We start from the raw sequence: 13,431 nt of genomic DNA, 5'->3' as shown, positions 1-13,431 counted from the left end.
ACAAGGCTGTGTAAGAAAATACGTTGATGTAATAAAAAGATAGCAGGCCACATATTTATGTTGTACCTAAAATAAAATGTGAACTTCATAAATGTGACTGGTAATGACATGACCAGGCATTCACAAGTACTTGATGTTTGGGGATGTGTCGGTTTTCTTTATGGTAGGTACAGACAGCTTGCAGATCACTATTTTAAATGAGTCATGATGAGGAAACACCTGTATGTGAATAATAAAGAATTAAAATCCTATAAATGCGAGTTGGGATACATAAGGCAGAAATAGAGGAAATGAAAGTGTTCCCGGAGCAAACTGAGGGGCCGGGCTGCTGTTTCTCACTGTCCAATAATGAGATGCAGACTGGGGTGGAAGAGAGTTTTTATTTCTGTAACGAGTTACAGGGAGAAGGCCTGGAAATTATCTCCAGACCAACTCAAAATTACAAAGTTTTCAGAGCTTATATACCTTCTAAGCTATATGTCTATGTCTAAGTGTGCATTTATCTAAAGACATAAGTGATTAACTTTTCTTTTTTTTTTTTTTGGACGGAGTCTCACTCTGTCGCCCAGGCTGGAGTGCAGTGGTGTGATCTCAGCTCACTGCAACCTCCGCCTCCCGGGTTCATGCCATTCTCCTGCCTCAGCCTCCCAAGTAGCTGGGACTACAGGCGTCCGCCACCATGCCCGGCTAATTTTTTATATTTTAGTAGACAAAGGGTTTCACTGTGTTAGCCGGGATGGTCTCAATCTCCTGACCTTGTGATCTGCCCGCCTCAGCCTCCCAAAGTGCTGGGATAACAGGCGTGAGCCACCATGCCCGGCCATAAGTGATTAACTTTTCATCTATAACTAAGGTCTGAGTCCTGAAGACCTTCTTCTGGAGACTCAGTAAATTTACTTAATCTAAATGGGTCTAGGTGCTACGGTGATTACCCTTAGCTTGTCTGCTGCTAAATCATGGAGGTTTGGGGCATTCCTTCAGACCTCCAATAAACTTGTTTGTGGAGGCCTGGGGATTTTCTTCAGACCGCCAGTAAAACCTGTTTAATCCTAAATGGGTCCTGCTAAGAATTCCTTCGTTATTTTGTCATGCTGTGAGGCCCAGGAAAGGCCTAGGCAAAACTCTTGGTGGGCTTTTGTTACATTCCAGCCTTTGTATAAGGGCACTGACTTTTTTAGCTGTTAATATTTAACTTAACCACTCAGTACTGAAAGAGTTGTGATGGAGGCCTACATTAGTAAAAACTGGCCTGCCACAAACGTATATTCAGGTTACAGCTTTCTTTACAGGAAGTGAAGCAAATCTAGTATTAAGGCTACAAGAATAAAAAAAGTCACTTTGCATTTAATATTAATAACTCATTCCTGAAAATCAGACATTTGTAGTAAAAATGCCAGTAGGGAACATAGTCCTCATTTTAAACACAAAATTTTACAAATATTCTATTTAAAATTATGCATTAATCCGATCTAAACCTTTCATTTTTTTTAGATATTTGGAAACTTTATTCCTTTTAATCTTATATTTTAGTGTAATTTCAGACTTACAGGAAGAATTGGAAAAATAATACAAATACCCCCTGTATACCCATCATCCAGATAACCCAAACATTTGACCACAGTTGTATAATTATTCTTTTTCTCCTTCACCATATGCATATGATTGTAATTCATGGCAGCTACTGTGTGTGTGTGCATGATATGCTGCTTCATTAATCTCTAAACACATCAGTGGGTATTTTGAAAACAAAGGAACATACTCTTACTTAAACACGTTACCCAATTAAGAAAATTAATATTGAAGTAATGCTTTTTTTTTTTTTTTTTTTTGAGACTGAGTCTCACTCTGTCACCCAGGCTGGAGTGTAGTGATGCAATCTCGGCTCACTGCAACCTCCGCCTCCCAGTTCAAGCTATTCTCCTGCCTCAGCCTCCCAAGTACCTGGGACTACACGTGCCCGCCACCATGCCTGGATAATTTTTGTATTTTTAGTAGAGACGGGGTTTCACCGTATTGGCCACGCTGGTCTCGAACTCCTGACCTTGTGATCTGCCCACTTTGGCATCCCAAAGTACTGGGATTACAGGCGTAAGCCTCTGCGCCCAGCCGGTGATGCTGTTTTCTAATCTGTACACATAATTCTAATTTCACCACTCATCTCTGCACAAAAACCAAAAAACTTAAAGCTGGTCCTTTTCAAAATATCAAAATTTAATACTGTCAAGACTGAAGAAGACTAAAGCTAAAAAAAAAAAAAAAGAAAAAGTAGAATCCATCAGTATAGATTCACCAGAGATTAATAAAATATGAAACACCAAAAGCTACTATATGCCAGTCATTTGAAAATTTGAAATAAGTCACCTTCAGAAAAAAATGCAAATGATTAACTGTTTAGTCTGAACTATGGGACAAATACTTGTCAATGCAGACAATGCATTTGAAATTCTACACCCTTTCATGTGAAAGGAAGAAAAACAGTATAGAATAAGAAGAGAATTTCCTTAATCTGATAAAAGATGTCCACCAAAAACTTCCTATAAACATCATCGTGTTAAAAATAACTTAATAATTATTTTCCCAAGCAAGTCAGGAACAGGCCAATTAGTAACCAGTCTGCCTAACTGCTTAGTTTCCCACTGGAAATCCAACCCAATATTTGAAAATTTGGAAAATCAGGCAGTTTCAGTAACTCCTAAGTTTGCTTACTCAGCAGTAAAATGGGGATACTACTACTTATTTCAGTGGGTTGCTGAAAGTATTAACTTTGCCAAGTGAACCACTCGGCAAGTGCCCTATACATACATCATGAGGAAGCTGTCTAGGGTCAATGAAACCGTCTCGTCGTCTGCGGTGTTATCCGAGCTCTCTGTTTCATGGCCAAGAAAATTTAGGAGTGTGGACACCAAGAGTAAGGTTGGAGCAAAAGAGGAAAGCTCTCTGCAGCAGAGAGGGGGCCCGAGAGGGTTGCCATTTTACAGTTAAACACAAAAGCTTTTCTAAGAAATTTCCCTTATCTGTGTAGCTGTCTGTGTAACTGTCCTCATCTGTGCAGCTGCAGGCCTGTCTCAGCCAAGCCTCCCCCTTATGCAACTTCCCATGGAGTCCGCACTGTGTACTTGTCTGTAGAAGCAGAGGAAACTTTCCTGGGAGCCTGCTGATTACACAAAGAACAAAAGCATTTCTGCGTTAGGCCTTGCTCCCTTATCTGTGCAGCTGCAGCTTGATTTTTCAGGCTGTTTAAAAGAATTTTAGTGTGGACCTGCCTTAACTGTTTTTTGTTTTTTGTTTTTTTCCTTTCTCCTCTCTCAGTGATAGTCCTGTAAATGGTGACTGTCCTGATCATTGTATCCTTCAGCCTGATTTTAACCCATCCTTGTCAACATGGTGATAAGTTCCTGGAACCTGAATAACTAGGATGGAAATGATATTGCAGGCTTAAGCAATTGATGTAATTTATAATTGTAATTTATAACAATGTTAACTATAATTTACAACACTATAATTTAAACACTTATAACAATTTAATGTTAATTATAGTTTATAATGTTAATTATAATTTGTTTCTTCTACACATTCACCCTTCCAATTAAGTAATAACTAATGTAATAATTTTCTAATAAATACATATAAGTTGATATAATTATGTTATAATTAATAACATGGCTCTAGACCCTTCGCCCTCTTGGGCTCATATATTTTCTTAATAAATTGACTCTAGCTTGTTAGTCTTCCACCTAAGTTGCCTGCTCCAGATGGTTTTTCTTTCCTGTATCACTGTTGTTGTATCTTAGGGAATGTCATGTTTGCTGGTTTTCAAGGTGATTTGTATCCTGCCCAATGATGACAAACGTAGATATGACAGCATAAAAAGATACCTATGTACCAAATGCCCAATTCCAAGCCAGTGTGTGGTGAAAAAGACCTTAGAAAAAGTCCAGGCAAGGACCATCGTCACCAAGATTGCCCAGCAGATGAATTGCAAGATGGGAGGAGCCCTCTGGAAGGTGGAGACAGACGTATGTTGTATTTCACTGACTTCGTTTAACTTACTTCTAATAAAACTTGAGATTCTCTTAATTGTTAATGCTTAAATTTTGCTCACGTTCTAACTCCATTACCTTTTCAAAAACAAACTTAAGGTACAAAGAACAATGTTCGTTGGCATTGATTGTTTCCACGATATCGTAAATCGACAGAAATCAATAGCAGGATTTGTTGCAAGTACCAATGCTGAATTAACAAAGTAAGTAAGCTCTGGTAGACATGTTTAGTTAGTAGCTGACTGTGGACCAAATAGAAAAGATGAACCTAATTAATATGTGTTAACTCAAGAGGTTGGGAATTTGACAGATGAGTTATTCTTAATCATGTAGTCTCCTGATTTTTCTGGCAAAGTTATGTTCCCAGAACATTTTGCATGGTTGGCTGGCTCTACATCATTTTCCATTGCTGCCTAAAATACCACAGACGTGGCAGTTTATGACAATGCCTGTCTTTATCTGCACGGTTCTTCTGATCAGACACCTGGTAGTTCACGCTCTCAGGACCTTACAAGGCATAAATTAAGGTGTCAGCTAAGCCACATTATCATCTGGAGGCTTGATAGCACTCCCCTTCCAAGCTCATGTCATTGTGGCTGAATCCATTTCTTTGTAGTTAGATGACAGAGGTCCCTGGTTTTTGTTGTTGTTGTTTGTTGTTGTTGTTGTTGACCGTCAGCTGCAGGCCAGTCTTGATCACTCTCATGTAGCAAACCCCTCTCCATCTTCCAACCAGCCATAGCACATTGAGCCCTTGTTCTGTTTTGAATCTGACCTCCTCTTTGGCCATCAGCCAGAAAAAACATCCCTGCTTTTAAAGGAGCTCATGTAATTACAAATGACTCATTTGGAAAACTTTTATCATAAAGTCAACAGAGCCATATAGCATAACAATCACAGGGGTGGTATTCTGCCATAATCACAGGCTCTAGGGATTAGAACAGGTAGAATTCTGCCTACCACAGGCTCTGATCAGTAAATGTCTTAAATGGAGATCATTAACACATAGTGAAATAGTTCAGATGTGCATGGGTAAAGAGACATGGAAACATAATTAGTGGCCAGAGATCTGTAAGTATAGGATCTTGTCTTCCTATACCTGCAAGTGATGTACTTCCAAAAGGAGATGTGTGTCTATATCCTATGCTCTCCTTTTCTCCCAGGGCCCTTTTATTTTCTGTTCTCAGAGTAGAAACCACACTGCACCTTGAAATACGTTTGCAGTCTTAAGTTTGCAGTCCTCTTTGCACATTACTTGATGTATGTCCTGCAAATTACCTCTGTTTAATAATGATTGTGGCCCACTAGGTGTAATTCAGGAATATCTTTAAAGGAAGATCCATCTTTATTTCCATAGATGATGACTTTTTTCCAGTCATATTCTGCTTCAATATGATAATATTGTTTTGCTCTACTTTTTGTTTGAAAATAGCGTTGCAATCATAGGGAAAAATTATACTTTCAATTATTCAACAGATGCTTTTCTCAAGTAATACTTATTTTAATAGTGTAAAATCTGCTTTCCAATCAAATAAAAACTTCCAAAAAATTATGAAAATAGCCAATACCGCCGGGTGCGGCGGCTCACGCCTGTAATCCCAGCACTTTGGGAGGCTGAGGCGGGCAGATCACAAGGTCAGGAGATCGAGACCATACTGGCTAACATGGTGAAACCCCGTCTCTACTAAAACAAAATACAAAAATTAGCCAGGCATGGTGGTGGGCGCCTGTAGTCCCAGCTACTTAGGAGGCTGAGGTAGGAGAATGGCGTGAACCCGGGAGGTGGAGCTTGCAGTGAGCCAAGATCACGCCACTGCACTCCAGCCTGGGTGACAGAGCGAGACTCCGTTTCAAAAAAAAAAAAAGAAAGAAAGAAAATAGCCAATACCTTGAACAAAGAGAAACACACATAGCTAAGTAAATATTACAATTACATACTCCAAACCCAAGAAAGCAGAGACCATCATGAGCCAAATCATTCTTGGAGCTGTCAACAGATTTTTCTGAGTGGCTACCATGTTCAGATGCTGACACTAGCAGTGAAAATGTGGAGCCGAGACGCCTGGTCATGCTCTATGGATTAAATCCTAGTGAGAAGAGGCAGCCAGACAGATACATCACAATGTCAGGTGGTCAGATGGGGTTACTGTGAAGTAAATAAGAATGCGGTAAGGGGATAGAAACTTGAGACAGCATACCATTTTACTAGATATGTTGAAGTTGTGTCAACAGCTGCCACCATTCCAAAGCAAACCCCTTCCTCAGTGAGGGGGAACATGGAGGAGCCATTGTTGAGGGCATTGGTCCCAAAGCAGGAACCAGGGGGAGCACAGGGATTTCCTTTTATTGCATTCCCCCATAGGCGAAACTGCAGTCGTCTTGTACAATAAAGCATGATTAATTTGTAGTAATGTGAATAAATGCTTCCATTCTACTTGACTATTTGTATGCACTCAAAATTTTCTAAAATGCCTAAGATATCAAAAGAGACCAATACTTTGATCTCCGTAGAGATATGAATTGATGCTAAAATGTCCTTAACTACTGATAGTAATATTTTTTGCCCATAGATTAATGCAGACTCAAATGAGATTTTAAGAATCTTGTTTTCCAAACTGGTGGTTTTTCTGTGAACAGGTGGTACTCTCAATGTGTCATCCAGAAAACAGGAGAAGAGCTTGTGAAAGAGCTGGAGATCTGCTTGAAAGGTCAGTGTCTTGTAGCGGTCGGGGAACCCGACACTATACAAGTAGTTCTCCACCAATGGACTTACTGCCTCCAGGGGACACTTGGTAATGACTGAACCTTTAGTTTTTGGTGTCACAACTGGGGTGGAGGTGCTACTGGCATTGAGTCTAGTGGGTAGAGGACAAAGATGCTGCTAAACATCCTACCATGCATAGGTTGACCCCACCTCCACCACCTCCACCACAGATTCTCTGGATCAAAACTTCCATAGTGCTGTTGTTGAGGAACCCCAGAATAGACAGGACTTAAGCAGTAAAATTGCCCTGAAAGCTGCAGTGTTGAAAGATGGACCTAGAATTTGTCAAAAGCAGCAAAGGCTAGTTTGTTCCAAGTAACGGTTTATTTACTTTTTCTGATTTCCTCTTAGCTGCCCTGGATGTCTGGTGTAAAAACGAATCATCGATGCCACATTCTGTTATTGTGTATCGGGATGGAGTGGGAGATGGTCAGCTTCAAGCATTGCTTGACCATGAAGCGAAAAAGATGTCGACCTACTTAAAAACCATCTCTCCTAACAAGTAGGTTGTATTAATTGTAATGTGTAGTGACTCATGCCTGTAATCCCAGCACTTTGGAAGGTTAAGGTGGGCAGATCCCTTGAGCCCAGGAGTTCAAGACCAGCTTGGGCAACATAGTGAGATCCAATCTCTACAAAAAATGAAAAAATTGGCCGGGTGCGGTGGCTCATGCTTGTAATCCCAGCACTTTGGGAGGCCGAGGAGGGTGGATCACCTGAGGTTAGGAGTTCAAGACCAGGCTGACCAACATGGAGAAACCCCGTCTCTACTAAAAATACACAAAAATTAGCCGGGCGTGGTGGTGCATGCCTGTAATCCCAGCTACTCGGGAGGCTGAGGCAGGAGAATCACTTGAACCCGGGAGGCAGAGGTTGCAGTGAGCCGAGATCGCGCCATTGCATTCCAGCCTGGGCAACAAGAGTGAAACGCCGTCTCAAAAAAAAAAAAAAATGAAAAAATTAGCTGAGCATGGTGGTGTGTGCCTATAGTCCCAGCTACTCAGAAAGCTGAGGTGGGGAGGTCACTTGAGCCTAGGAGCACTGCACTCATACCTGGGTGACACAGTGAGACCTTGTCTCAAAAAAAATCGTACTGTGCAGATTTTAGCTCTACATTTTAGTCTTTGAAAAAAAAAAATCTGATGTTTTTTAGGGGAAAACACCAATACAATGTGTGATGAGAGTAGGAGCTTGATATAAATAGTGGCTTTTGTGGATGGGTGGGGGAGCGCCGGGAAGACCCTTCTGCTTTGATTTTACGTTCCACACGCAAGTCAGAATGCAAAGCAGAATTGGACCTGGCAGTAGCAGACCGCTTCCACCACAAAGTTCCAGGGAATCTTCCTACTTTGTTTCAAGTCTTGCTGTGGGAAGGCTTGTTAAATTCAGATACTCATAGAAATCCATGAATGGCCTGGCGTGGTGGCTCACGCCTGTAATCTCAGCACTTTGGGAGGCCGAGGCAGGCAGATCACTTGAGGTCAGGAGTTTGAGACCAGCCTGGCCAACATAGCGAAACCCCATCTCTACTAATAAAAACACAAGAATTAGCCAGGCGTGGTGGTGCACACCTGTAATACCAGCTACTTGGGAGGCTGAGCCATGAGAATCACTTGAACTTGGGAGAGGGAGGTTGCAGTGAGCCGAGATCACACCACTGCACTCCAGCCTGGGGGACAGAGTGAGACTCCATCTCAAAAAAAGAAGAAATCCATGAACATAGTCTGCCAATAGTTCACACTTATCCTTCTTTTATCCTAGACTTTTGTGTGTTTCCAGGCTGGAGGAGCCAGCTGGTGGGGATCTCCAGCCCTAAGACTTACAAAACCTATAAAACTCCACTTTTGTAAAACTCCTGTTGAGAGCCCGCTGCTCAGCAGGGATTGTAGGAATGATCCTAAAGTTGTGAGGAAGGGACCCTTCCCCTGGGATGTGGGTGGCTATGAATAAATACCTCCCCATTTACTGCTTCAACCGGGCACATGGAGCTTAGACAGTAAAATTAGGGTGTAAGGAGGGCTGCTGTCTGTTCTTCTTAATGGGTCCTAAATGTAAAGCAGATGTTTCAATACACTGTGTACTTCTGAGGTAAGACTGAGTAAACATAGTGACACTTACCCTAATTTTTTTAAGTTTCACTCTAGCTTTCATTGTGGTGAAGAAACGAATAAACACTAGATTTTTTCTTAAACATGGAAGCAATTTTCAAAATCCACCTCCAGGAACAGTTATTGATGTAGAGTTGACTAGGAATGAATGGTAAGCCACCTGTATTTTTTGCACATGGTTCTATGATTTTCTCAATTTCCTTCAGTTCAGCACAATCACTTAATTCCAATAACTTTACCTTAAAGCACTGCTGATTCTTTAGAACTAATTTGGTCTGTTTTTTTTACTATTGGGCAGAGATTCCTCATTTAAATCTAGAAATCGCGATGAGTCTTCTGGTTGTCGAAGTTTCTTCATCAAACTTTTGTAAATGTCTGTGACCACGTAAGATTTAACTTCAGTGTGGCCCTAAAACCCTTCTAATTACGAATACAAAAGATAGCAAATGATGTTTATATTGACAATTTGGAGTCATCACAAATCAAATTATATTGACTATATCACGACCATCAAAATGTTTATGCAGTAGCCTGAGAGGTAGGTAGGTATCTATCTATCTATTTGATGGAGTCTTGCTCTGTTGCCCAGGCTGGAGTGCAGTGGCGCAATCTTGGCACAGGCACACTGCCACCTCTTCCTCCCAGGTTCAAGCAATTCTCCTGCCTCAGCCTGCCAAGTAGCTGGGCTTACAGGTGCCTACCACCATGTCAGCTAATTTTTTGTATTTTTAGTAGAGACGGGGTTTCACCGTGTTGGCCAGGCTGGTCTCGAACTCCTGACCTCAAGTGGTCCACCCACCTTGGTGGCCCAAAGTGCTGGGATTACAGGTGTGAGCCACCATGTCCAGCCAGAGGTTTCAATTTTTAAAATGTCTTTCTGCTTTAAAACAGCAGTGTGGGGCTGGGCACGGTGGCTCACACCTGTAATCCCAGCACTTTGGGAGGCCAAGGCGGGCAGATCACGAGGTCCAGAGATAGAGACCATCCTGGCTAACACAGTGAAACCTCGTCTCCACTAAAAATACAAAAAATTAGCCGGGCATGGTGGCGGGCACCTGTAGTCCCAGCTAGGCAGGAGGCTGAGGCAGGGGAACGGTGTGAACCAGGGAGGCGGAGCTTGCAGTGAGCGGAGATCGTGCCACTGCACTCCAGCCTGGGTGACAGAGTGAGACTCCTTCTCAAAACAAAAACAAAAATAAAACAGCAGTGTGAAAAAAGAGACCAGTTTCTTTTATGTGAAACATTTTGTATGACACTTATCCTAAGAACCTGAACAAGGAAATGATGTGTTCAGAAAGTAATACTGAATATGCTACAAAATAGTTTCGTATAGTCAGCTCTGTTGTTCATGGACACAAGGAAGTAATTCCAAACAGTAATTTAGAAGTCTTTTTCTTGTTATGAGGATGCAAGTCATTATGAATTAGAGCCAGCCTTTAAGACATTAAGATTAGATACAACTTCCAGAAGATGAAATGGTTAGAGACATTCTATATAAAAATGTATTGAAATAAGAAAAGATATAAAAAGGAATAAAGGCCGTAAGAATATCTAATGAAAAGGTCAATTTGTATTTGAATATCTAACAAACATGAATATAGTCAAAACGAAGAAAAATCAGTGGAAGGGTTAAAGAGAAGGTTAGACATAAAAGAAAACAAATTGTTAACTGGAACATATGTTCACAAAATTCCCATAATGCAGTGGGGAGCCATAAAGATATGGAAGATATGAAAAAATGTTTAGAAAAATGTAAGGCAAAATAAGATTTGCTCTATACCAAATAGAAGTTTCAGTAGTAGATAAGATATGATGGGGGTGTGGTGGGGTGGAGCAATATTCAAAGAGAAAGTCTGAGATTCTGAATCCTAAGACTGAAGAATAACAAGATTTGAGCAAAAATCAATAAAAGTTCACACTTAGAAATGTTATAGTGAAACTTCAGCAGGCATAAGAAAATTTAAAAGCAACCACAGGAATAATATATTTACAAACAATAAAAATCACATTCAGCAAGAGTAGAAATCAGAATACTATGAAATATCTTTAAAATGCTTAAAAATAACCATCAAGCTAGAATTTGATACCCGGCTAACTTATCAAGGGTGACAGTGAAATACAAACATGCTCAGTTAGTGCCTATACAGTATATACATTAACAGATCCACCAGATACTCACTGAGAGAGCTACCCAAAAAGACTGTATTTCAGGAAGAAGGAAATCAAACAGTTAAGAGAGAATGAAATGCAAGAAGCAATGCTGATCAGTTACGATGGAGTATAAAAAAGCCTTGATTTCATACATGACAATTTATAGGGTATATTAAAACAAGACCTAAAATACTGGATATAGCACTTACATAGAAAAAGAATTATGAGGTCAAAGTATACACTAAGATTCTTTAGTTACCAGGGAAAATGATAAAGCTGCTGCTGCTCTATACTTGTCAATTATACAAATGAAAGACTTACTTGAAACCACAGTGGAATTAATGATATTCATACCAAGAGTTGAGGAGAAATGAAGTAAAATGAAGGAAAGGCAGAAACATTTGATCAATCTAACATAAGGCAGGAAAGGATTAAAGGATGGAGCAAATAAAAAGTATCATAAACATAAAGTACAACATAAGATTGTACACATAAAAATAAATTCAATATTTATAACACATAGATCAATCTTACCGGTTGTATTGTTTAAGAAGTTTAAGGCCAGGCGCAGTGGCTCATGCCTGTAATCCCAGCACTTTGGGAGGCCGAGGCAGGCAGATCATGAGGTCAGGAGATTGAGACCATCCTGGCTAACACGGTGAAACCCCATCTCTACTAAAAATATAAAAAATTAGCCGGGTGTGGTGGTGGGCGCCTGTAGTCCCAGCTACTCGGGAGGCTGAGGCAGGAGAACGGCGTGAACCCAGGAGGCAGAGCTTGCAGTGAGCTGAGATTGCGCCACTGCACTCCAGCCTGGGCGACAGAGCCAGACTCCGTCTAAAAAAAAAAAAAAAAAAAAAAAAAAAAAAACAGTTTAAATATAGTCCAGTGATTCTCAGCGAGGCAGCAGGCCTTCATCCAAGAATCTCCGAATAGAATTATCTATGGCCATATCAGATCAAATGTGCCAATCTTGTTTCTTCCTCTAGGTTTCAGTGCATGTACTTGAAGGCAAAATCCCACGAGAGTTACTGTGTCAGTGATTTAATTGCCTTCTATAGACTTGATTTCTCAAATCGTTGTTTATCAGTTAGGTTTCTAAATGTAAAGGAAACTTAATCTATAGAATAGATTTTTGTAAGCAATTATACTAAATGTTTTCATTTCAGACATTAAGTTTACTATATACCCTCTTTCTAAAATGAGCTGATACCCACATGTCCTATATTTCCAGGTATGACTTTTTTATTGTGAGTCAGTCTGTGCAAGATGGGACTGTTACCCCCACTCATTATAACGTCATCTATGACACGATTGGCTTGAGCCCAGATACAGTACAGCGTTTAACATATTGTCTATGCCACATGTATTATAATTTGCCAGTAAGTACTTTTTGTTACTTTTTTCTTCAGATTTTTTAAATGTACTATTCAACATTGAACAATGTTGGACCTCTGAACTGGCTTCTATGAATTTAAATTTAGGGAAAGTAGATGTAAAGTGAAAAAAATTTAGTTGTGTATTTTCTTTTCCTACTAAAGGGCATCATCCGAGTTCCAGCGCCTTGCCACTATGCCCACAAGCTGGCTTACCTCGTGGGGCAGTCCATTCACCAGGAACCGAATCGTTCCTTGTCAACTCGTCTCTTTTACCTTTGACCTGCAGAAGAAGACCTGATGTGCTAATGAAACCACAACGTGTAAGCCTGTCTTCCTTTTGAAGCAGGATGTCTGAAATATTTTCCTAGGTCCATAGCATTAAATTCTCATCGTTTTTGATTGGACACAGGAGAGATTCAGAGTGATATGTTCTACTCTCAATACTACCACAGACTGATTTTTCCAGAGAGGAGAACTGACAGGGTTTGGCTTGCAGTTTCCCTTTCAAATATGTGACAGAGATCTCACAGCTGAACGTGACTGAACATTTTCCACCCCAAGCAGGGCCACTCTAAGAATTGAAAAGATGGGGCATTCGTCACAGAGAGAGTACATCTGTGAACAAGTAAACTCTACTTGGAAAACTACGTTTACTTTATTTTTGAAACTTTTTTTTGTTAAAGGACAGGAAAGGAAGACATAAAAGTAACAACACTGAATTTCTGTTTAATATTTGTATTTAGAATTAACCTATTACTGATGAGCTATATAGGAAGCATTGTGTTATTCCTTGTGCTGGGGTGGGAATTTGGATGGATTTTTGGTGGAAAGGTCATAAGGAAAGCTGGATTACGCCTGTAATCCCAGCACTTTTAGAAGCCTGAGGTGAGCGGATCACCTGAGGTCATGAGCTTCAGACTAGCCTGGCCAATATGGGGAAACCCCGTCTCTACTAAAAATACAAAAATTAGCCAGGTGTGGTGGCGGGT

The 13,431-nt window shown here is 40.5% G+C and overlaps 1 protein-coding gene across 4 annotated transcripts in view, besides 1 other annotated feature; it reads left to right on the top strand.

Annotated features, from left to right (window-relative positions):
* PIWIL3 (piwi like RNA-mediated gene silencing 3) overlaps window positions 1-13,159 on the top strand; it is a 55,687-nt gene extending 42,528 nt beyond the window's left edge. For 3 of the 4 annotated variants that reach the window (NR_045649.2, NR_045648.1, NM_001255975.1), the window contains 7 exons: window positions 3,819-4,016; window positions 4,140-4,243; window positions 6,678-6,748; window positions 7,156-7,306; window positions 8,938-9,063; window positions 12,298-12,445; window positions 12,605-13,159. Coding sequence is in view for 2 of the 4 variants with exons in the window: in NM_001255975.1 (NP_001242904.1) it covers window positions 3,819-4,016; window positions 4,140-4,243; window positions 6,678-6,748; window positions 7,156-7,306; window positions 8,938-9,063; window positions 12,298-12,445; window positions 12,605-12,721 (915 nt within the window). In the remaining 2 variants the exon portion in view is untranslated. Of the gene's footprint in view, window positions 1-3,791; window positions 4,017-4,139; window positions 4,244-6,677; window positions 6,749-7,155; window positions 7,307-8,937; window positions 9,064-12,297; window positions 12,446-12,604 lie in introns of all 4 variants that reach the window. The other variant, NM_001008496.3, reaches the window with a different exon arrangement.
* Window positions 854-1,428: an enhancer, noted in NCBI's record as "NANOG-H3K27ac hESC enhancer chr22:25126732-25127306 (GRCh37/hg19 assembly coordinates)". NCBI's record gives its function as "activates a minimal SCP1, AML or CMV promoter by ChIP-STARR-seq in primed H9 embryonic stem cells {active_cell/tissue: H9 hESC(primed)}" and the evidence as "EXISTENCE:reporter gene assay evidence [ECO:0000049][PMID:30033119]".
* Window positions 13,160-13,431: the final 272 nt, after the last annotated feature.

The sequence above is a fragment of the Homo sapiens genome, chromosome 22 (genome assembly GCF_000001405.40).
Source record: "Homo sapiens chromosome 22, GRCh38.p14 Primary Assembly".
Classification (NCBI taxonomy): Eukaryota; Metazoa; Chordata; class Mammalia; order Primates; family Hominidae; genus Homo; species Homo sapiens.
This window is presented reverse-complemented; position numbering and strand designations above follow the sequence as displayed.